This window comes from Homo sapiens, chromosome 5 (assembly GCF_000001405.40).
Source record: "Homo sapiens chromosome 5, GRCh38.p14 Primary Assembly".
NCBI classification, from domain to species: Eukaryota; Metazoa; Chordata; class Mammalia; order Primates; family Hominidae; genus Homo; species Homo sapiens.
This window is the reverse complement of record NC_000005.10, coordinates 111,425,262-111,450,797: the sequence shown is the minus strand read 5'-3', so window position 1 is coordinate 111,450,797 and position 25,536 is coordinate 111,425,262. Positions and strand designations below refer to the sequence as shown.

The window sequence follows — 25,536 nt, the reverse complement described above, 5'->3', positions numbered from 1 at the left end:
TTTATTTTTGAGATGGAGTTTCACTCTTGTCACCCAGACTGGAGTGCAATGGTGCAATCTTGCTTCACTGTAACCTCTACCTCCCAGGTGCAAGGGATTCTACTGCCTCAGCCTCCTGAGTCGCTGGGATTACAGGCACCTGCCACCATGCCGGGTTATTTTTTGCATTTTTAGTAGAGACGGGGTTTCACCATGTTGGCCAGGCTGGTCCCAAACTCCTGACCCCAGGTGATCCACCCACCTCGGCCTCCGAAAGTGCTGGGATTATAGGCATGAGCCACCGCATCTGGCCACATGTCTGTTTTCTTGTAGATTGTGAGCCCCCAGTGTGGGTGTAAGGGCAGGAAAAGCATCTCCCTGGTGCCACACACTGGCTTGACTACACAGTAGGTGATTAACAGTTCACTGAAGAGATGAATTGAAATAAAGGACATTTGTGTAAAAATATTCTCTTTGTTTTTGTTTTTAGAGATGGAGTCTCTGTCGCCCAGGCTGTAGTGCAGTGGTGCGATCTTGGCTCACTGCAACCTCCGCCTCCTGGGTTCTAGGGATTCTCCTGTCTCAGCTTCCTGAGGAGCTAGCTGGGGATTATGGTGTGCACCATCATACCTGGCTAATTTTTATTTTATTTATTTTTTTTTAGTAGAGATAGGGTTTTACCATGTTAGCCAGGCTAGCTTTGAACTCCTGACCTCAAGTGACCCGTCTACCTTGGCCTCCCAAAGTGCTGGGATTATAGGCATGAGCCACCACACCTGGCCTGTGTAAAAATATTCTGATCTAAGAGAAAAGGATCACTAATCTTGTGATTGATAACTTGAAATCTTGTCTTTTTTCTTTATAATTTAGATTAGAATTTTAATTGATCTGTGACATATTCAATAATCACAACAATTTTAGGAATTCTTGATAATTTTTACAAACTTTATTGGCTTTCAAGTTGTTGCCAAATTAATTTGACCATCAAGAAAAACAGAGCAGGTTTTATGCTAGTATGGGTCAAAAGCTTTTGTTCTTTCTGATTGCAATGCCTTCAGCCCACTCTGGGCGATGAGGCGGGAAGATGTGAAGAGCTCAACGTAGTTGTGGTCCATCTGCAGGGACTGGAGAACTCTTCTAGGAAAATCTCACCTGAAGTCCTTGTCTTAGTGAGGCTAGGCCAGGCCATGGAAAGAACTAGGGACCACCCCATTCTCACCATCGTCCTATATGCCATCTGAATTAAACACACACTCTCCATCCAAGGAAAAGCAAAGAAAAGTGACAAAGGGCCCATGGATTTAATTCCAACTATAAACGATGGTGTTTCCTTGCCCTCTGTGGTGATGGTCTTTCTGCTGCCCAGTGGGTCTAAGAGTAGCCACTGGCTCAAAGGCATTCTAACAGCAGTGCCCTAAAACCAACATCCTTGAACCTCTCATAGAAAACAAGAAGTGATCTGAGTATTATTTATGTATGCCTTCCTCATAGAGATTTGCAACAAATTTTAAGCATTTATAAATAGAAATATTAGGAATTTTTAAAAATGAGATTGCTAAACAAAAATACATTTCAAATAACAATAAAAGTAAAATATAATTATTAAAGAGCATACCGCAGTACCCTGGGGTTCCACATACTGTCTTCATGAGCACTTGATGTTCCACAATTTTAGAGAGTCCAAAATCAGCTAATAACACAAGAAAAAAATTTAATGAAGCACGTCTTCTCAGCTTTTATGACAAAATATTTGTTATTCAAAAATAAAACTAACTTATTTATCTATTTGCTTTCTTTTGTATTTGATGATGGGGTGAAGGTGGGTGGGAACAAGTCACCCAACAGGAAGCTAAAGAAAACAATCCATGTGTTTCTTTAAATTGGAGAAAAATATGACTTCCAAATACATTTACAAATAAATCTATATTTAATCTTTGTTCTTCTGTACAATTCCCCGCTTTCAGCAAATAAGCAATTTTTTTCTTTCTTTCTTGTTTTTGTTTGTTTGTTTGTTTAGATAGAATCTTGCTCTGTTGCCTAGGCTGGAGTGCAGTGGCGTGATCTCGGCTTACTGTAACCTCTGCCTCCCGGGTTCAAGCAATTCTCTGACTCAGCCTCCCAAGTAGCTGGGATTACAGGCACGTGCCACCACACCCGGCTAATTTTTTTGTATTTTTAGTAGAGACGGAGTTTCACCGTGTTAGCCAGGATGGTCTCGATCTCCTGACCTCGTGATCCACCCACCTCAGTCCCAAAGTGCTGGGATTACAGGTGTGAGCCCCCGCGCCCAGCCAAGCTATTTTTTCTTAAAGTAATAGTTGCAATAGTTATATTTTGTCTAATGTTGTTACTTCTGAAATTTATGTAACAGTAACTCTAAGGGACAATACAGAATTAATGATATAATCCAGAATCTTCAATTTATTGACAGAGAGGAGAAAAAAAATAGACTTTCATCAGTGACACGAGAATTAACAGAAACATCAAAAGGTTTGTTCAGCTTGAAAATACATTCAGTCTCCAATGTATTTCACTTATAAGAATTTACTCTCATAAGAAGACTATAAGATTTTTTTGGTAAGAATCCTTTTTATTTATTTCTCAGAATATTACCTAGGTAAAAGATTATCGAAAGTTGCTACCATTATGAACTATTTGCTGAGCTATATCGCTTGCACTCAGGAAACATCAGGAAACCATTCAAGGGCATTCTTCAAGAGAGGCAGGTGCAGAATGAATTCCATTTTAGACTTCAAAGATAAACCCACATTTCCTGGCAGGTGCCTGATCCTTATCAGTGGAAGCAGCAGGAAGCCCTTCAGAAAGAAAACCTCTCCTGCCTAAATTAGTATCTATCCATCCATTTAAAGAAATTGCTTTAAGGATTAAATCTTTGAAAGTGATGTGAAAGGAAATGGAAACTGCCTGCTGTCCCCTGCCTTACAGGAGTGATTATGAGAACAAGCTGGCTGCCCAGCAGGACTTTCAGGATTTTTTCCTTAGGTTCTTGCATTCATAAAGCACATTATGTTATCTGAGCTCTTCCCTGATATGAACAACTTAATTGTTAAAGGTGTTAACATCTGTAAATGCAGTGAACTTCGCAGATTAGCACGATAAGGAAGGCACCAGAAGAGCAATGCCCTTCAGAGGATTTAATGAAGATTCCACTAGTGAGAATTCATCGAAAATAAAGTTTACAATATTTTTTGAAATGAAGATTTGCTTTGGAAGATACTTGGAAAGTAACATTTATTTTTTTCTAAAGTGCTAATTAAAGGTTTCTTTGGGTAGATCAGAATTTCCCAAAGTTCACCTTTATAGTTTTTCAAAATGCTTATTGGTAAAAATTTTAAAAAAGTCTCATAGAATATGATATAATATGTAAATTTATATGTTAACAGGTTAAAGGTTCTGGAAAGTCCTACAGAAATACAAATCTTGTTTAACTTTTTTAAAGTTGGCATTTCCTAACTTAGTTGATCAGCCATAGCATTTCTGTGAATCACTCCCATCCTCATCTACCCTGCTGAGAAACCAGTGTTCTATGGAGTGCATTTTGGGAAAGGCAGATCTTAATTTATCTCTGTTCATATAAACAAGCGACTCAAAGCCTAGACTCACTAATATGTGCTAAATATTTTATGTCAAAGTTCTTTATTACCTAAAATTAAGCTCCAAGCAATCTGTGGAATAAAAGTTAATATCTCCAAAAGATGTGTTACTTTTTCTATCATTTTGTTCACTATAAACTTATTTACAAAATACAAGGTCATCTCCTGTGGTCCTTGCCATTTCTAAGCTGTGATTCCTTTGTGTGCCCAGCAACAGAATACTAACTTCTAAGCAATATTTTCCAAATAAACATTCCAGGAAAGAGCAAAAACTTCCAAAACAACATATTATTTCCTTTACAGATGTCAATTATTCAGGAAAACTGAATGGATGTAAAACTGGATGGAGCAATATTTAAAAATTCCACACAGTAAAATTTTTTCTGCTCTGAAAAAAGGGGTCACAAAACAAGAAGAAATGTTCTCACCGATTTTGAGTGGTGCATCTGGGGCTGGAGTTGCATAAAGAAGATTCTCTGGTTTGAGATCACGATGGACAATCCCATTTTCATGTAGATACTAAAGAGGGAAAATAATGAAATAACATTTGTGTAATGCTATTTATGGTTCGAATGTCTATACTTAATCTTTTAAGAACTATAAGTTATGTGATTCAAGAACACACATAGTATGACTTAACAATAAGTACCATAAAGGAAAATCTGTTTTAAACTGTATACATTAAATAATACTTTATAAATAGTTACCTAAATGTGATGCAATTTAAATTGTATAGAATCTATTCCCAGAATGAAATATTTACTCCTCAGCTAATATTAGTTACAATTCTCTTTATGCATATTACTATATCAACTGGAATTAGCTAATTACTATAATGATGTCAAGGTGCTGTGTACTGAAATTTGTCTGGCTTATTATCTAAAAAGCGTAATTGGATGTGTGATCTTATAAACCTGTATAGCAAAGACTTCATAATTATTGTCTGAGCAGACATATAGATGTGAGTATTTTAGACATATAGATGTGAGTTATTATAGAGAACTATCCTTAACAAGACAAATACTGTTTGATAATGATGGATGCACTCATAGGCTCTTCTGAGAATTAGTAAATCTAACTGTCAATATAGATGTTGAAAGCTGTATTTGAGATGAATCTCAAAGATCACATCTAGCAACTCTGCTCATTTTATTGTACTTTAAATTATTTTGTAAAATCACGTATAAGCATACATGCAACATATTCTCATTGTAAATGCTGAAGTCCTACCTGATTTCCCTTCCCCCAGATCCAGTTCCAGTCCCCTCTTCAAAAGTAATCCCTCATCAGTTTGAAACGTTTTTTCCCAAAAAGTTTGTTTGAACATTTTTTCTATGCATTTACAAACGAGTCTATATACACTGGGCTAGATTCACTAATGCATAGAAAAAGCATTCTAGGCATTAGTGAATCTAGGTTCTGAGTCACTTGTTTATATGAACAGATTTCTTTACATATATCAAATATTCAGGACATCTGTATATTACACTGGCTCATGACCGTAATACCAGCAATTCGGTGGGCCGAGGTGGAAGGATCGTTTGAGTCCAGGAGTTCGAGACCAGTGTGGGCAACATAACAAGAGCCCATCTCTATGAAAAATTTTAAAAAGCCAGGGATGGTGGTGCATGCCTTGTAGTTCTAGCTACTCTGGAGGCTGAGGTGGGAGGATCACTTGAGCCCAGGAGGTTAAGACTTCAGTGAGCCATGATCATGCCACTGCACTCCAGCCTGGGTGATAGAGCAAGACCCTGTCTCAAAAGAAAACAAAAACAAAAACAAAAAACCAAACCAAAAAAAAAGACTACATATGTATATACACAAGGTAATATCCCTGGTTTCCTCCATTTTCCTACTTATATATATCATTAATACAATTTTTAGGTGGCTTTTTTTCTGCTTAACAAAATATCTTTGAAGGCTTACCTTCGTATCAGTTTAGTGTATTCTATTGAATTCTTGCATCTTTTATTATAATTAATTTACTTATTCATTTTTAATGGACATTCAAGTTGTTTTCAATTTTTAAAAAGTTACAAGTAATACAATATAAACATTCCAGCACTTGAATATTTGAGTGTTTCTGCTGGTATTTTTCTAGGACAGATACCTGGAAGCAGGTGCAGTTGTGGAGTCAAGGCATACAGCATTTTTATTTTAATACACACTTCAAAATCACTTTCCTAAAAGCCTCCATCAATTTTCACTCACACAAACAATGTATGCATATATGTTAATATCTTTGCTAAATCTGTAGTTTTAACTTTTGCTGAGCTGGAGTGCAAAGATTGTGTCTTAAGTTTGGTTTAATTTGCCTTTCTCTGTTCACTAGCATAGTTGAGCTTCTCGGTCAATCAGTTTTCCTCTTCCATGAATTTCCTGTTCATAACATTTGCCCATGTTTCTGTTGGTTTAAGAGAAAAAGTTTCCAGTGTGCTATACTCTCTCTCGTTTCCTACCTCATGTGGGAAGGCAAGGAGTCTTTTATACTTAAGCCAAGTAAGGGGGGTTGGGGAGGTACAGTTTCAAGATGGCTTCGTGATTTGGGGAAACAGATAACTGGCTCATGCATGAAAATGGAAAGAAGAGTGGATAGTTGCAGCAAGAGAATGCAGAGAGGGCCTCAGGGAGATTCAGCTACTCTCAAATAATAGCTGGATGTACATTTCTCATGGGCCCAGTGTGGATTCTGCAGGAAGGAATTAGACATGAGTCTCCATGAAGAAACTCTTCATGGGAGTGTTTCCTGCCAGGGGATACCACCTTAGCATCACAGAAAGCAGAGTGTGAGGGTTGTGACAGTGGCACCTGAGGCTCTTACATGTTTTAAACACTTACTGTATTTTAAGCTCTATTTTAAATACCTTATACCTGTTGACTCATTTAATCTTCACAACAGCTCTAACCAGTAAGTCGTCTAATATTTGTTTTCCAAATGAAGAAACTGAGGCACAAAGAGGCTACGAAATCTGTACAGTATCACAACTACACACTAGAGTTGGGATTCAGACTCAGGCATCTGGCTGTAGAGCACATACGTCTTGCCTATTACATAATTCCCAAGGAGATGCTCAATGAACATTTGTTACTTGATTGATTAAGGTGAGGGAACAAAAGAAAAATAACAACGAAGGAAAAGAGGGGAGGATACTGGAAAGGAAGGTAATGAAGGTAGGAAGAGAAATGAGAGAATGACAGAGGAGCATGCTCGACCACGAATGATACCCAGGGAAAACATGCGGTGTCCCCAAGAAGGAAGATACTGTATCTTGATATAAGCTGAGTTTGAAGGGGAAGATAGATAGAATATCTCATATAGTACCTTTGGAACATATCTAAGAATTGCATAGTTTGGGACTAACGGAACATATTGATTTTTCCCCCTAATCTTACCCAATTTAGAAACTCCATTGTGTTGAGAAGAAAATGACGCTAAACATAGGAACACAGTAACAAAGACAAATGAAATGACCTGGTAAGTTTTGTTTAGCAAAGAACTAATTATATGAAGATCCTCACTAAATGTTGTTCTGGCTTTCTTGAAACGAAAAGGTGGTTGCGTTCTAAGTGCAAGTTAAACAACAGCAACAAAAACAACAAAAAAGAAAACATCATTTGGCACTCCATAAAGGAGAACTAGACTAGATAAAGGAAGGAAAGTTTAGAGAAAAATACTAGAACGAGGAGCTATACACTACCAAAGGAACAAGCTTTAAAACAAAACAAAGCAATTAAATGCTAAAGGTCATGATCTTGGCTTTTAAAAAGACATGCAGAGATGATTTGCTAAACATTACTTGGTGTAGAAAGATTATCAAAAGTCATGATATATTCATATATATATACTATATATATAGTATATATATAGTATATATAGTATATATATATAGTGTGTGTGTGTGTGTGTGTGTGTGTGTGTGTGTGTATATATATATATATATATATATATATATATATATATGGTAGGGGGAGGCATTTAAATATATCTGACTGATAAAATGTCAGGAGTCACTATTTCATTTTTGTTTACATCCCCTGATAAACTTTGACCAATAGAATTTCTAACCTTTACATTATCTCAAGTCAGGAAGACAGGTAGAAGGAAAATGTGAAGTATGATTTTTCTTTTCCCAAAAAGATACAAACATTAGAAAGATCAACACTCTTTTAGAGCACATGTTCTCAAACTTTTTGGTCTCAGTAACCCTTTATATTCAAAAAAAATGTTGGAAACCCCAAAGAGTTTTTGTTTATGTGAGTTACATCAAGCAAGACTTACTGTATTACTAGTTAAAATGAAAATTAAATTAATAAATTAAAATGCCTATTAATTTTGAAAAAGCAATAAGCTCATGACATTGCTTATTAAAATATTTAAAAATATAACTGAAAATATTAAATATATTAATATTATGTTAATAAGATATATAATATTTATATTTTAAAATTTGTTAAAATATACTACATTCTAAAATAAAAATAACTGTATTTTCTAAAACAAAAAATTAGTAGAGTGCTAGTCTTTCAGTTTTGTAAATTTCATTAATTTCTGGCTTAACAGAAAACAGCTAGACTTTCATATTTGCTTCTGCATTGTCTGGTATAAAATCACACACCATGTAGCCTCTGGAAAATTCCACTGTATGTATGTGTGTGTGTGTATATATATATATATATATATATATATGTTTTGGTTTTTTGTTTGTTTGTTTTTGAGACGCAGTCTGTCGCCCAGGCTGGAGTGCAGTGGTGCGATCTTGGCTTACTGCAATTTCCACCTCCCTGGTTCAAGCGATTCTTCTGCCTCAGCCTTCCGAGTGCCTGGGACAACAGGCACGCGCCACCATGCCCAGCTAATTTTCTTTGTATTTTTAGTAGAGACAGGGTTTCACCATGTTGGCCAGCTTGGTCTCTAACCCCTGATCTCGGGTGATCCACCTGCCTCGGCCTCCCCAAGTGCTGGGATTATAGGCATGAGCCACAGCACCTGACTGAGATGCCTTCATATTATGATAAAATGATTTTGACATCACAGAACCCCCTAACAGGATATCAGGATCCTCCAGGGATGCCTAGCCTAGACTAGACTTTGAAAACTGCTATCTTGGAGCATCTGAAGACATAAAAAGATCAATTTAAAGAGCTGAATAATAGGCAGGCTTCCCTTTATTTTAAAACTGATTTTTAAATGAAATACACACTTCTAATATCATCAACACTAATCTCATTACTTCACAATCACCGTACATAGAGACGAGGAAAAGAAAATAAAGAATAAAACATGCTGCTAAAGATTGTGTGGTCATGGGAAAATGTGCAAAGATATTTTATGATATCATATTAATGCTATCTATAGAGCTGACAAAGAAATACCTAATCATGGAGAAACATATCTTACCAAGATATTGTTGATTTTAGCTACAGATTATGTAAATCATGGGGATTAACATAAATAGATAAATGCACTAGAAAGAATAAAAACATGGTAACTGGGTATTCTAGAATAAACCATGTGTTCAATGTAATCATAATTAAAGTAAAGCAAAGACATGCAAGAAAACAGAAAAAAACAAACCATAAACTGGGGAGAAGAACTGGGGAGAAGATTTTTAAAATCTGCTATGTCAGTCTAACAATTTAATGGAGACAGAAACAACAAATCTGACAATTGTAGCACCCTACTTCTAAAGGTTATCTTGACAAATGCTAACCTTTAATAAAGAAATTACAAAAGCAAATAACCAGGGGTATACAAGTTAATGAAAACTTTAAGGAATAAAAATAAGGAAGAGGAGGAAAAGAAATAGTAGGAGTCAGGGATGCACAATTAATTTATTGGCTCATATTTTAAGTGTGTTATATTTTTAAAAAGCATAAGACAGAAATATAATTTTATCTGCAGAGTAGTTGAGAGAGACTAACATATTTTTAATATATATTATAAAATAAATGCAATATTTGCTGCCAAAGGCATATCTCTGCTAAGTTCTGTTTAAATATCTTGCCCTCAGTCTTGATCATGGGTTGACAGAAATACGTATATTGAGATTTTTTTTGCATTGTTTCTGAAACAATTATTAAAGAAAGACTTCATGAGTGGTGCTTTGGGGTAATATGCCCAAAGTATATCATTTGTTAGCTATGTGACCTTAAGCAATTTATCTGTCCTCTAAGCCTCGGTTTTCTCATCTGCAACGCCCACTTTGCAGATTGTAGTGGGAATTAGAAATGAGGTGTGTAATTACTTAGTATGTTATGAGCATGTAGTAGATATTCTATGTGTAAATGGTAGCTATTCGGACTCTATCCTTGCTATTTCACATCCTTTGTAAAATACATCACATTGAGCAATCCTTTGAGACTTGGAAAACTTGCTCTTTTCTAAAGTTTCAAAGGATACTTTGATCAGAAAATACTTGCTTTATAATTCATATTTTTTCCTTCTGTTTTGCTGCCAAAAATCTCAGTGAAAAAGAGGTTTCAATTACAGTAAATAGCTGAGTTTGGATATGTTTACCTCTTCCTTCCTCTACCTGGCTTTTGATTCCTTTTTCTAATTTAATAGAAATTTTGTATGCATTTTTCATTTAATTTGCCACAAATCTTCTACCCAAGATGATGCAATATAACTTATAAATAGAATATGTCATATTTATGTCTTTCTTCACTCTTGAAAAAGGTCTCAGTGAAATGTGTACTGAATTTTCTCTGTATGTGTTTATAGTTTACAGTAAGAAAGTTTAGGTGTTAGAAAAGAAACAGTTTGTGGTGACTAGGATTTGAAACATTCTTACTATAGTTTTGTCAACTACGTAACAAAAAATTTCTAAAATAAATAATATTTGTCATTGATAAACAGTTGCACTTCCAGTCCTGTTACTTTGTTTATGCTCAGTTCTCCTGGGATTTTCTGTAGTTCTTCCAGAGCCATCCCTTAGTGCTGCTTGGATCTCATCCCATGCCCTCCTGACTCCTGAGTCAAGGTCCATGTCTCCTGCCTTCTCTTTACCTCTTCCTCTCCATTTCCTCTTTGTTCCCTTGCATCACATTAGTATGCTCTAGACTAGGAGCTATGGTCCTCAAAGAGAAATAAGAAAAAGAAAGCAACCACTACCTCCATATTCTCTCAAACCCACATATTCCCAGCTTTCTCTGGCTATACTCAATTATTTCCTATTCTAGTCAGCCAATTTCCTGAAAATGTAGTCTCCCTTCATTTTTGTTTCTTTAACACACTATAATCTTATTTTTGTCCTATCAAACCCAATACCCTGTTCTGACTCATTTTTCTCAACCCAAAGACATCTGACTACATTGGCTAGTCTCTCCTTCAGACTCTCATAGGCCAGTGTTCCTGGCATCAGCAGCCTGGCTTTCCTGACTCCTCTGTTCTTTCAGCCTCCTTCCCTGGCTCCAGGTCTTCCACTTGCTTAGGACCCTCTGCTTTTTCTGTGTTTCCAGGGTGAGCTCATCCAAACCACAAATTGAGTTACCCCTTATTCCACTGTGTCCCAAATCTCTATTGCCTGCCTATACTTCCCTGTAGCTCTGGACTCCATTCAACTTTCTACTTTACATTCCATTGGAATGTTTCATTGGTGCTCCAGTCTCAACATTTCTAAAACTAAACTCATAGTTTACCCTAAGTCTGCTTCTTCTGTACCTGTATTCCCAATCCCTACAAATGATACGATCCAATTGACCAAGCCAGAAACCTGAATTTATCCTATTCCTTCATCTCCTTTATTTGACACACCCAATCTGTGTTGATGTGTAGGCTCTCCCTCCTTAGTGGCTTGTGTATCCCCACCTCCTTTCCCTGCTTACTGCCCTTGCCTCCAGCCAGGCCACTAGCATGCTTTCCCTCTTAATTACTCTAATAACCAGCTTAGCTGTCAGCTTCCCAATTTCCAGCATTAACCTCCTCCAGTCCCTGCTTCGCACTGCCACAAGAGTAGAAAGATCTAGATATGGCACTCCCCTGCTTATAACCTTCAGCATCTTTCCAAAGTTTCCAGCATGCAGGGCAGCAGCAATGTTGTGTTTGATTGTGTAGCTCTTGAGTAGGGATCACAAACTCTCGAGGGGCGAGGAAGATACCCTAAAAGAATGAAGGAGGTAGGCATGGAGTAAAATAAAAGGGAGACATTGGAAAGTTGTAGGGACTGTGCCTGTTTGTGGAGAGAGCATGACCCTTTAAGAGGCAAAGGCTACTCCGGTTCAGCCAACTGTGGTCAGGTGGGATGCAGACCCCAGGTTGTTAGCTCTTCTGATTTTTCAAGGCGAGGCAGAAATTAAGATTCTTTTGATGTAAAATATTCCAAATTTTAAATGTTGGCAACTAAGTTGAAAAATGTTAAATCCTGCACAGGCCAAACAAAATACTGCAGTCTGTAATTTTGCTTTAAAGTTTAAAAGGGAGCTGGGCACTCAGTAGATGCCCAATAAACATTTGTTAAGTGTATGAATAAATAAATGATTATTTTTCTGACTCCACTTCCTAAATTGAACATTTACAGTGTTTGTTCTCCTAGTCTTCTTTTTTGCTGTAAACTCTTTGAGCACATTTGTCTACTCTTTCCTTCTGCTACTTTTTATAGCATAAAGGAGTATACATGAATGTAAAAAATTATGATTAATCTTAAATTTTTTATATAAAATTTAACTATAACACTTACGGATTACTTGGATAATTTTTTACAATAAATTTTCTCTAAGTGGCAGGCATTTCATATATTTGTTAATCCTGAATACCACATGTTTGCTACAAATGATGTGATTTGAATATGACAGATACAGGGTACATTTAGCTGGCAACTATATCTATTCTCACATTAACTAAACATACTACGTAATTACATTGCTAGCGGTTTGAGAATTAAAGGTCATTCCATGACAGTATCTTAAAAGGATTTCCAATTCAATGTTGTTTCTTAAGCTCCAAGATCATTTATCCAACTGCCTTGTCTCATTTTCAGTTGGATATCTTGTGGGCACGTTAACTTTATCATGTCCATAGCAGCACTCTCGACCTCCCTGCCCTCTTCCAATTTCTTCCACCTGAAAACGTAATCTCTCCATCAACTTAAGTGTTCAAGTCAAAAATTGACTTTCTCTCCCTCGCCATCTACATCCAATTCACAATTAAGTTCTTTCAACTTTAATTCCAAAATGTCTCCAGAATGGCCCTGTCTCTTTCATGAGCAGTACTCCAGCTGGATGGCCATAGCAGCCCCTTTAATACTTGCTTTGATTTTCAGCATGCCACTTTACACACTACTCTTTACATAAAGCACAGGGAATCAGGCCATTTCTTCTCCTTGTGAAAGTCTTCAATGGTTTTCCACGACTTTATCCTGGCCTTCAAGGTCTTGGTGATCTGGTTCCTATGCTCCTCTCCAGCCTCATATTCTGTCACTCTCCCCTCTCTTGTTCTGTTCTCTGATACAGATTTTCTCTCAGTTTTTCAAAATCCTTCATCTCTTTCTCACCTCTGGCTGTTCCCTGCCTGAGCCCTTTCACACTTCTTCATCTGGCCAGCTCTCCTCATCCTCAGGACTTAGCTATAATGTCACTTCCTCAGGGAAACTGTACCTATCCTTCCAAAGTAACATATGTGTCAGCTCTTATATCCTCTCATTGATGCTGCCTATTTTTCTTTACAGCATGTATGTTTCTTTGCAGGCTTTCCATTCAGGATGCCTCCTCCACTGGACTGAGAACTCCATAGAGACAAAGAATCCCCAGATACTACATTTCCTTCACAGAGCCTAACACTAACTATGCATTCAGTAAACGCTTTTGAATGATTAATAAATAACTCAATTTTCCTATAGATGCACATATTGTTCTACTTTTTAAATCACAAACTTATAGTCAAAAGGTGATAGTAATCTAGACCTTTTATTCATTTGTTGTTATTCATTTGTAATAGAAGTTAAAATATTAAAATAGAAAATGCTGTGCTTACATCGTGGCAATCTATGTCCACAGCAATGCCACTTCATCATCTTTAGCAGAAGCATGGCTCTTAGCATCTTTGCACTTATTAAACATATACTATTCTTGGTAGATAATAATACTTAGTCACCTCAGTGGTGCTTATTGAGTATTAGTGAGATAAATGAGATTTACCTTGTCACTTTGAGAAAGGCCAAAAACCGATAAGAATATTTTAACTGCGAGATCAGAAGAAAGAATTTCATCTTCCAAATGACATTTTAAACCATTACCTAATTCATTTTTGTTCTATAGTAGCATTATGTTGGTAGTTATAGCTGAATTAATTTCTTCACATGCTTTGAAGTTGATCTGAATATTCAATACAGCGTTGCCTCAGGGGAGTTTGGGGAAAGACTGTTGAAAATTCAGCTGTTAGTTTTCTCTTCAGTACCCTTTGTGTCTGAAACTTTTCATAAATTGTACTGGTCAGTGTATTAAAGCGAAACTGATGTGTTGACTTAAAAATCAAGTGGCTAAAGAAGTAGTGATGTACCTAGCTGTAATAATACACTAGGGAGAAGTGGGCAAGTTCAAAGGCATCTGTTAATAAATGAAGGCATCCTGTTAGACTCCAGTAGTGAGAATGAAGATGGCCAAGGTTGCTGCTGGCCCTGCAGTTGAGGTTTATGTGTGTGCTTTGTTGCTTTAGGATTTGGGTATGGCCCAGAAGTCTCAGAATGAAGCATCATTTTGCTGGAAAATACTTGCTGGGATGGCAATGTCATAGGGGAAAAGAACAGGATGCTGGTAGAAAGATAATGATGAAAGCCTCTGGGTAGGGAATCCAGGGGTGTCAGGTTAGAGTAGTAGACAAGAGAAGAGGTCACAAAGAACACACTGACAGTGGCATGAGTCTCCTCTACATACTAAGTCAGAGTGGAGAAACATGGATATTTTCATTGGATTAGAAATTTATTTTCCTGTCTATTTATACATATGCATGCCATAGAACTATATTAAGTACGTATTTCTAAGATAAACTATATGGCACTGGTGGAAAATGTCATTTTGCCTACATTACTTTTCTTAGATTCAATTCAAAACCTGAAATCCTTACTCAATTAAGATTTTAATGAAACACTTATCTTTGTTTTCAGTAGCAATCCTTATTAAGTGAATGGTTATTATTTTTAATTAGATATTATGCAAAAAAATGAACAGAAAAAGCTAGGTGTCTAGATATAAACAGACAAATTTCATGCTGACAGGATAAAAGTATATAAAGAAAACTGGAACAATTTATGTGCAATCTACAAATCAGCATATAATATTTATTTGTATATAAGGTTAGAACAAGTATATGTTGTGAGGCAACTGAGAAGATGTTGAGATTAAGAGGATAAACATGATTATGACATTCTCTAATTTCCACTGTATGTGCCCATGTTTCAGAAAAGGTGAGAATTTAGGAATGGAGGCTATGGAAAGGTTTGGCTAATGAAATAAAGGTGGTATTCAGGAAAAACTTCAAAGCTTGGGAAAAGGTTCAAAAATGATCTACAATTAAGGAGAAAGAAGCAGCAAGCAAATTTTTGTAATGGGAAAGAAGAGATTAGATTGGAGCACAAAAGTAAAAAGGGAAGCTCCTGAGTCTGCACACTCTGGCCAAGCAGAACCTGGGGATCTTGACCTTGGCCCTACAGACAGGCTGAACTGTTTGCATTGTCCAGAGAAGCTGATTGGGCAGGACTGAGGATGAATGAAGAAATTACTCCATCCTCAGGCAAAGAGGTGAGCTCTTTCACTAGGATGAGGAAGCTGAAAATATCATTATGAAAGATGGCTGTGCTTTAGATGACAGTATATACTTTATATATTAAATAATATTAAAAAATAAGAGTAGATATTTGGAATGTACTGGAGAAAGAAAAGAGTTTTGGGATGCAAGTAAAAGGTATGTCAAACATGACAAAGAGTGAAAATTTGTAGTTTTTCCTTGGAAAAATTTACATTCACCAATGTATAAATGATTCCTAAAGCAAATATGCATTAAAGTAGAATGAGGAATTAAAAAATATAAAAGCTCCAATCTTACCTTACCATTTAGTCTTTAAAAAAATGCAATAACCAAAATCTCAAATTCCCTTTTAAAAGAGACAAAGACTGCTGCTCTGAATTCAGGGGGTGTCTAGACATGTAATTAAACTCTCTCTACGGTCTAACAAAAACTGTTTCATTGTGTAATGAAAGCTACTGCATAGTAATTTAGTTTAATTACAGCTATGCTGTGTTCAATGGGCTGTGTGTGGTTAATTGATAATGTCTCAGGAGTTGGTAGGAGGAAGTTTGAATCTCTTTAAAAATCTAACAGGACAAAGAAGAAACAGTCATTACAGAAAGAAAACAGTATTCTGACCACAGTTTTCTTGATGGAAAGAAAAATTAAACTACATGAATTTACTCTTTTCTACTCAAAAAAATTAGAGTGAGTACACATAAATTTAAGTAGGAACTTCAAAGTGAATACCCTATTTTGGTGTCATGTCTGCTTTGGAGACCTAGTAGGTACTACCATCGTCTTTATCATTGACCTCTACTCTGTGATGCCTTAAGAATCATCAACAGAATATACGAGAAAGCAATAAGGAACTACTATCTCCCATGACCAGCTCAACAGGCCTGGTTAGGACTGTCTGGCTGTGAAATCTGTGCTAAGCCATGATCCATGGAGCATCCCAGGACCAGAAGAATCTATTTCGGGCAAAGTAGCCAAGCTTCGGGGCCCCTGAGACATTCTTACTTGTTTTGGAGTCATCCTTAATGCCTCCTTTTTCCTCACCGGCCTTGGCCAATCAGTCATAATCCTACCTCCAAAATATGTCTCATATCTATTTGTTCTTCCCATTTACATTGTCACTACTTAGTAAGGCCCTTCATATTCTCTAGTGGCTCTATTTTTTTTTTTTTTTTTGAGACAGAGTCTCGTTATGTAGCCAGGCTACAGTGCAGTGGCGCGATCTTGGCTCACTGCAACCTCCGCCTCCCAGATTCAAGCGATTCTCCTGCCTCAGCCTTCCGAGTAGTTGGGACTACAGGAGCACGCCACCATGTCCAGCTATTTTTGTATTTTTAGTAGAGACGGGGTTTCACCATGTTGGCCAGAATGGTCTAAATCTCTTGATCTTGTGATCCGCCTGCTCGGCCTCCCAAAGTGCTGGAATTACAGGCATGAGCCACCGCGCAAGGCCAGCACTATTACATTTGTCTTTTAAGCACCCCCATATATCCAAACACCAGGTCATCTTTCTAAATCACAAATTAACTCATGTCAATCATTGATTTAAAAACAAAACAAGTCACTTGAAATCACTAGCTATAAGCTTAAGTCTAATTTCTCCATTATAAGAATTAAAGGCCCTTCAAAATTTGTCCCCAATTTGTGGCTGTGCGTCATCCTGGGACAATTCTTGCCATGCCCTAGCCACACAGCCTTACTTACTATTCCTAAGCCATGCTGTACACATTTCTACTTGGTTTCCAGAGGGTAAATCTTTCATGTACTTAATAATGATTTTTTAAAAATGTATTTTATAGAGATTCTTGAAAGAGGATTACTCATCCCACATGCTCCTCCAGAATCTTACCACTTCCCCATCCAGAGGTGGAGTCTAATTTTCCTTCCTTTCGTTCTGGGTAGGATTGTAACTTGTTAGTGGCCAACAGAATGCAGGGGAAATAATGATGTGTGATTTCCAAGGTTAGGTCTTGATAGTCAATACAGCTTCTATCTTGTTTGCTAGATATTCATTTCTGGGTCCCTGAGCTGTCCTGTAAAATGCATGACTATCCTAAGACTATCATGCTGCAAGAAAACTGGGCAACATAGTTTCATCAAGTGTAGTGCTTGTGCTCCAATCAGCAGTCCCTGCTGAGATTCCATGTGACAGACATTATCAACTTCCAGATGTGTGAATGAATACAACTCTAGATTACTCCTTCCTCAGTCATCAAGCCCTTTTAAACCTTTGAGTCTTGTTGGCTTAGACTCTAGATGTTATGGAGCAGTCCTGACCCAAAGAATATATGAATATAAGACAGTGGTTGTTTTAACATGGGAAACAGGATAATCTGTGAACATATCAGCAGTGACTGGAACACTTTATAACCCAGATTAATACCATCTTCTCTGTGAAATCTTCCTCTAGTCTCATAAGCAAAATGAATCATTTTCTCTGCCTCCCATGACATTCTTTTTATCCATAGTCAAATATTTTAATGCTGTCATCATATTTGTGTGCTTGCCTATCAAAGTAAAAATACACTCCTTGAAAGCAGGATTTGTCTTATTCATCTCTGTACTCTTAGAATCTAGGCACAGGACATGGTATTTAGTAGGTTTTTGACAAATGTTTATAAAAATAATATATGAAAGGAGTGAATGAATGACTGGAATTATGAGCTAAATGAGTATCTCTGGTATATATCAACAAATAGACACAAAATACCAAGGAATGGCTAGAATTTGCTCTGAAGTCTAGCACATATTTGTGCTTAATAAATGTTTCTTAAATACATAAATGTATATATATATATATATATACACACACATATATACATATATATATGTATATATATATATACACACACATATATATGAGGTACATGAGATGTTTTGATACAAGCATGCAATGTGAAGTAAATACACCATGGAGAATGGGGGTATCTATCCCCTCAAGCATTTATCCTTTGAGTTACAAATAACTGAATTAGTTATTTTTAAACACACAATTATTATTGCCTATAATCACCATATTGTGCTATCAAATAGTAGGCCTTATTCATTCTTTTTAATTTTTCTTGGTACCCATTAACCATCCCTACCTTCCCCGAACCCCCTACTACACTTCCCAGCCTCTGGTAACCATCCTTCTACTCTCTATGTCCATGAGTTCAATTGATTTGATTTTTAGAACTTACAAATAAGTGAAAACATGCAACGTTTGTTTTTCTGTGCCTGACTTATTTCATTAACAAAATAATCTCCAGTTCTATCCATCTTGTTGCAAATAATAGGATCTCATTCTTTTTATGACTGAGTAGTACTCCATTGTGTATATGTACCACATTTTCTTTATCCAGTCATCTGTTGATAGACACTTAGGTTGCTTCCAAATCTTAGCTATTGTAAACAGTGCTGAAACAAACATGGGAGTGCAGATATCTCTTCAATATACTCATTTCCTTTCTTTAGGGTACATACCCAACAATGGGATTGCTGGATCGTATGGTAGCTCAATTTTTAGTTTTTTGAGGAACCTGTTCTTTATGGTGATTGTACTAATTTACCTTCTCAACAACGTTGTACAAGGGTTCCCTTTTCTCTACATCCTCACCAGCATTTGTTATTTCCTGTCTTCTGGGTATAAGCCACTTTAACTGGGTGAGATGATATCTCATTGTAGTTTTGATTTGCATTTCTCTGATGATCAATGATGTTGAGTACTTTTTCATATGCCTGTTTGCCATTTGTATGTCTTCTTTTGAGAAATGTCTATTCAAATCTTTTGCCTATTTTTCATCAGATTATTAGATTTTTTTCCTATAGAGTTGTTTGAGTTCCTTTTATAATCTGGTTATTAATTCCTTGTCATAGGAATAGTTTGCAAATATTTTCTCCCATTCTGTGGGTTGTCTCTTCACTTTCTTGACTGTATCCTTTTCCGTGCAGAAGCTTTTTAACTTGATGTAATCCTGCATGTCCATGTTTGCTTTGGTTACCTGTGCTTGTGGGGTATTGTTCAAAAAGTCTTTGCCCAGACCAATATCCTGGAGATTTTCCCCATGTTTTCTTGTAGTAGTTTCATAGTTTGAGGTTGTAGGTTTAAGTCTTTAATCCTTTTTGATTTAATTTTTGTATACAGCAAGACATAGGGGTCTAGTTTCATTCTTTTGCATATGGATATCCAGTTTTCCCAGAACAATTTATTGAAGAGACTGTCTTTTTCCCAGTGTATGTTCTTGGCACCTTTGTCAGAGATGAGTTCACTGTAGGTGTATAGATTTGTTTCTGGGTTCTCTGCTCTGTTCCACCTGTCTATGTGTCTGTTTTGGTCACTATAGCTCTGTAGTATAATTTGGTTTGGTCACTATAGCTGGTTTGGTCATTATAGCTCTGTAGTATAATTTGAAGTCAGGTAATGTGATTCCTCCAGGTGGTTTTTTTGTTTTTTGTTTTTGTTTGTTTGCTTGCTTGCTTAGAATAGTGCTTTGGCCATTCTAGGTCTTTTGTGGTTCCATATAAAATTTAGGAGTGTTTTTTTCTATTTTTGTACAGAATGTCATTTGTATTTTGATAGTGATTGCACTGAATCTGTAGATTGCCTTGGGTAGTAAGGGCATTTTAATAATACCGATTCTTCGAACCCATGAACTTGAAATACTTTTCCATTTCTTGGTGTCTTCTTCAATTTCCTTCATCAGTATTTTATGGTTGTAATTATAGAGATCTTTCACTTCCTTGGGTAAGTTTCCAGCTATGTCATTTTATTTGTGGCTATTTTAGGTGGGATTACTTTTTAAATTTCTTTTTCACATTGTTCACTGTTGGCATATAGAAATGCTACTGATTTTTGTATGTTGATTTTGTATCCTGTGACTTTACCAAATCTGTTTATCAGTTCGAATGGTTTTCTTGTGGAGTCTTAAGGTTTTCTCCAAATATAAGATCATATAATCAGCAAACAAGGGTAATTTAACTTGCACACTGGATACGCTTTATATCTTTCTCTTGTCTCATTGCTTTAGCTAGGGCTGCCAGTACTATGTTAAATAACAGTGGTGACAGCGGGCATCCTTGTTGAGTTACAGATCTTAGAGAAAAGGCTGTCAGTTTTTCCCCACTCAGTATAATACTAGCTGTGGGTCAGTCATATATGGTTATGTTGAGGTATGTTCCTTCTATATCCAGTGTTTTTGAGGTATTTTATCATGAAAGGAGGTTGAATTTTATCAAATGCCTTTTCAGCATCAATTGAAATGATCACATGGTTTTTTTCCCTCATTCTGTTGATATGACATGTCACATTGATTGATTTGCATATGTTGAACCATCCTTGTATCCCAGGGATAAATTCCAGTTGGTCATGATGGATTACCTTCCTAATGTATTGTTGAAATTGGCTTGCTAATATTTTGTTGAAGATTTTTGCATCAATGTTCATCACAGATACTGGCCTGTAGTTTTCTTTTTTGATATATCATTGTCTGGTTTTGGTATCAGGGAAATAATGGCCTCATAGAATGAGTTTGGAGGTATTCCCTCCTCTTCTATTTTTTTTTTTTTTTTGGAATAGTTTGAGAAGGATTGATATTAATTCTTTAAATGTTTGGTAGAAATTGGCAGTGAAGCCATTAGGTCCTGGGCTTTTCTTTACTAGGAGGTTTTTTATTACGGCTTTTTTTTTTTTTTTTTTTTTTTTTTTTTTTGAGATGAGGTCTCACTCTGTCACCCAGCCTGGAGTGCAGTGCAGTGGTGTGATCTAGACTCAATGAATCAGCCTCCTGGTTTCAAGCAATCCTCCCACCTCAGCCTCCTGAGTAGCTGGGACTATAAGTGCACACCACCATGCCTGGCTGATTTTTTTTGTATTTTTGGTAGAGATCGGGTTTCGCCATGTTGCCCATGCTGATCTGGAACTCCTAAACTCAAGCAAACAAATAGAGAGCACCTGGGCCTCTCAAAGTACTGGGATTACAAGTGTGAGCCACTCCACCTGGCCATGGCTTCGATTTCATTACTTTTTATTGGTCTGTTCAGGTTTTAGATTTCTTTCTGATTCAATCTTGGTAGGTTGCATGTATCTAGGAACTTGTCCATTTCTTCTAGATTCCAATTTATTGGCATGTAGTTGCTCGCAGTAGCACTAATTACCTTTGAATTTCTGTAGTATTAGCTGTAATGAATCCTTTTACACCTCTGATTTTATTTATTTGGATCTTCTCTCTTTTTTTCTTAGTCTGGCAAAAGATTTGTTAATTCTGTTTATTTTTTCAAAGAAACAAACGTTTTGTTTCACTGATCTTTTGCACTTTTTTTTCACTTTAATTTCATTTGTTTCTGCTCTGATATTTATTACTTTTCTTCTACTAAGTTTAGGTTTGGTTTGCTCTTGCTTTTCTAATTCTTTAAGGTGCACTGTCAAATTGTTTATATGAAGTTATTCCTCTTTTCTGATGTAGGTACATATAGCTATAAACTTCCCTCTGAATACTGTTTTGCTGTATCGCATAGGTTTTGATATGTCATGTTTCCATTATCATTTGTTTCAAGATATTTCTTGACCTTTCGGAGTTTGAATATTAAATACCTTGAAGTAGTCTTCAAGAAGTTACATCTTCTTGGTATTCTATAACCTCCTTGTACTTGGATATTGATATCTTTCTCTAGGTTTGGGAAGTTCTCTGTTATTAAACTTTCTACCCATATCTCTTTCTCTACCTTCTCTTTAGATTTGCTCTTTTAAGACTATTTTCTAGATCCCATAGGTGTGCTTCACTGTTTTTTATTCTTTTGTCTTCTCTGTGTATTTTCAATCAGCCTGTCTTCAAGCTCACTAATTCTTTCTTCTGATTGATTCATTCTGCTATTAAAGGATTCTGATGCATTCTTCAACATGCCAATTGCATTTTTCTGCTCCAGAATTTCTGCCTGATTCTAATTATTTCAATTTCTTTGTTAAATTTATCTGATAGAATTCTGACTTCCTTCTCTGTGTTATCTTGAATTTCTTTAAGTTTCCTCAACACATCTATTTTGAATTCTCTGTCTGAAAGGTTACATATCTCTGTTTCTCCAGGATTGGTCCCTGGTGCCTTATTTAGTTCATTTGGTAAGATCATGTTTTCCTGGAGAGTGCTGATGCTAGCAGATGTTTTTTGGTATCTGGGCATTGAAGGATTGGGTATTTATTGTAGTTGTCACCGTGTGGACTTATTTGTAGCTGTTCTTCTTGAGGAATCTTTTCAGATATTTGAAAGGACGTGGTGTAGTGATCTAAGCTGTATCTACTTCAGGGGGCACCCCAAGCCCAGTAACACTGTGGTTTTTGCAGACTTGTAGAGGTACCTCCTTGATGGTCTTGGACAAAATACGGGAGAATTCTCTGGATTACCAGGCAGAGACTCTTGTTCCCTTCCCTTACTTTCTCCTAAACAGAGTCTCCGTTTGTTCTGAGCCACCTACATCTGGGGATGGAGTGACACAAGCACCCCTGTGGCCACCACTGGTATGACTGTGCTGGGCCAGACTTGAAGCCAGCACAGCGCTGGGTCTTGCCCAAACCCTGCTATAACTACACTCTGGCTACCGCCTACATTCACTCAAGGCCCTGGGGCTCTACAATCAGCATGTGGCAAAGCCATCCAGGCTTGTAACCTTCCCTTCAGGGCAGTGAGGTCCCCAGGCCCCCGCTGGGTCCAGAAGTGCTGTCCAGGAGTCAGGAACTACAGTCAAAAACCTTAGAAGTCTACCTGGTATTCTGTTGTATTGCAGCTGAGCTGGCACTCAAACCACAAGACACAGTCCTTCCCACTCTTTCCATCCCTTTTGAAAAGCAGAGCAGCCCATAGCCACTACCACCTCAGGCCACGAGGAATGCCAAACTACTGCCAATGTTCCCTTAAGGCCCAACTTATGTCAGCTTGTCGTGAATGTTACCTGTCCTGGTGCTCACCCTTCATGGCAGTGGGCTCCCCTCTGGGGTAGGGCGGGTCCAAAATTGCCACCCAAGATTCAAGTTCTGGAATCAGAGCTGCCAAGAACCCACTTGGTGTTCTACCCCCGCTGAGGTGGTGGTGGTATCTGAAGCCAGAAACTTTCACAGGCTAAGGTCCTTGACGTAGTACCCATGTATTGCTGGTGGCTTTTCGGGGATCAAGGGCCCTTCCCTTCCGTTAGCAGGTGATGAATACTGCCAGGACTGGGTCCTTTCTTTCAAAGTATCAGGTTCCCTTCTGGCCCAGAGTGTGTTTAGAAATGTTGTCTGGGAGCTAGGGCCTGGAATGGGGACCTCACAACTCTGACTGTTGCCCTATCCTGCTGTGGCTGAGCTGGTATCCTAGATGCAAGATAAAGTCCTTCCAACTCTTTCCTCTCCTCTCCTTAAGCAAAAGGAAGGGGTGTCTTTTGGAGTTGTAAGCCTGGGGTTAGAGGAGGGGTGATGCCAGCACTCCTTTGGCTGCCTCAGCTGGTCTCTCAATATGTCACCTGCCCTCCCCAGTCCACTGTCTCTGGGCCTAATTCAGCACTGGGACTCTTGTAAGAGTTGCAGTCCTTGTGGCCTAGACTGCCTTGCAAGTTTACCTGGAGGCTCAGAGTGCTGTAGCCCAGGGTGATGAGGTTTGTGGAAACTCAAGTTCAGACCACTGGGATCCACAATTTCCCTCTGACTAGGACTGGTTTAAGTGTCCCCTCTGTGGGCAGGCATCAGCTGAATTTGGTTGGGGTTTCCTTTCTGCTCTAACAGGACAGCACTGAGTTCAGTGCCTCACAATTGCTGTGTTCTCCCTCCCCCAGCACCCAGAGATGCTCTCCTTACCATGCTGGTACCATTGGGGGTGGGGGAGGGGTGGCGTTAGTGATTCAGGACTGATTTTTAATCTCTTCAGTGCCTCTTTCAGCGATATGGAGTTAAAACCAGGTACCATGAGAGCTCACCTGATTTGGGGTTCTTATGAAGGTGCTTTTTTCTGTGTAGATAGCTGTTGACTTGGCGTCTTTGCAAAAGAGGAGATGATCGGTGCACCATCTTTCTCTGCCCCAAATCTTATATTCTTTACTAAGTAATTTAAAATTATGTTCACAGTGTAATTTTTGGATAATGCAATGCATATATGAAGAATAACTGTATTGTTATCACCCATCTGTGAAGTCTACTTTCTCTAGTTGAGGTATATAAAAATTCACTTTAACATAACATCTCTTGCCTTATGAATATTTACACAATAAAATTTTAATTTTTCATTTGCCCACAAACATGTTGCAGAATTGTTTGTTATTAACATTGCTTATGTGAGATCTCAAAGTCAGTCCTTTCCAATACTGCATCATTTGATATGATCAATGAAATACAAAACCAGAGAAAATAACCTACTTAGATTTTTTTTTAATTTGGAATACTTAAAAAAATTGTTATGGCTTTTCAGGTACTTTACACATGAATATAAGATATATTAATGATTTCAAGGATTCAAGGATTAAAAATACAAAAATGTTCTGTCATGAACTTGAACTCCATACAGTATCACACTATTCTTTAAATTGTCTGATATTGCCAATTCAGGTTAAATGACATAGTTTAAAAAAAGTATCTATTCCTTTAGAACTCGTGATACATTTCAAAGCTATTAATAAAATTCCTGAGGTGATATGGTATTAAGGTAGAAATGTAATATTAAAACCAAATTAAATGCATCTTAATACATTGTTCATCACATGAAAATTTCATGTGAATATACATGTGTTTTCTGGTGTTTATGGGGAATAAGATTTTGCAAAGCTAATAAGTTAATAAATTCTTCAATGCCAAAATGATTATTTTAATACAATATTGGTTATACTTGTCATAACAAACCATGCTAATTCCTTTTAGCTTTTCTTTCTCATCATTCCTGGTACTTAAAAAAGTTGGGCAAATGAATGAAGAAAGTTATGAATCCTGCCAAACTATGTGCTCTTAGTCTTTCTATTTGTGGCTAGACTTAATTCAAAGGAAAAAGGATCTGTTCTACAAAATCTTGAAGGAGGAGGTGGCAGGTGCTTGCATTTTGAAAGCACAGGAAGCTGCTATGCCTGGAAGTCAGCCTTGTTATGCATAGGCTCTGGCACCACCTGTGCCAGGTGAGACCAATCTGATTCATCAGCCCATGGGGGCTGCACTATATTTTACGACCTCACAAAACTGGCACAAATGTGCAACTACATGTGAAGAAATATAATAATTGA

General features: G+C 37.3%; 1 protein-coding gene across 7 annotated transcripts in view, besides 1 other annotated feature; it reads right to left on the bottom strand.

Moving 5' to 3' along the window:
* Nucleotides 1-25,536, bottom strand: part of CAMK4 (calcium/calmodulin dependent protein kinase IV) — a 271,304-nt gene that overhangs the window by 44,089 nt on the left and 201,679 nt on the right. For all 7 annotated transcript variants that reach the window (XR_948303.3, NM_001323375.2, NM_001323374.2 and 4 more), the window contains 2 exons: nt 4,022-4,112; nt 1,595-1,669 (listed from right to left, as the gene is read on the bottom strand). Coding sequence is in view for 6 of the 7 variants with exons in the window: in NM_001323375.2 (NP_001310304.1) it covers nt 1,595-1,669; nt 4,022-4,112 (166 nt within the window). In the remaining variant the exon portion in view is untranslated. The remainder of the gene's footprint in view (nt 1-1,594; nt 1,670-4,021; nt 4,113-25,536) is intronic.
* Nucleotides 2,517-3,107: an enhancer, noted in NCBI's record as "OCT4-NANOG hESC enhancer chr5:110783389-110783979 (GRCh37/hg19 assembly coordinates)". NCBI's record gives its function as "activates a minimal SCP1, AML or CMV promoter by ChIP-STARR-seq in primed H9 embryonic stem cells {active_cell/tissue: H9 hESC(primed)}" and the evidence as "EXISTENCE:reporter gene assay evidence [ECO:0000049][PMID:30033119]".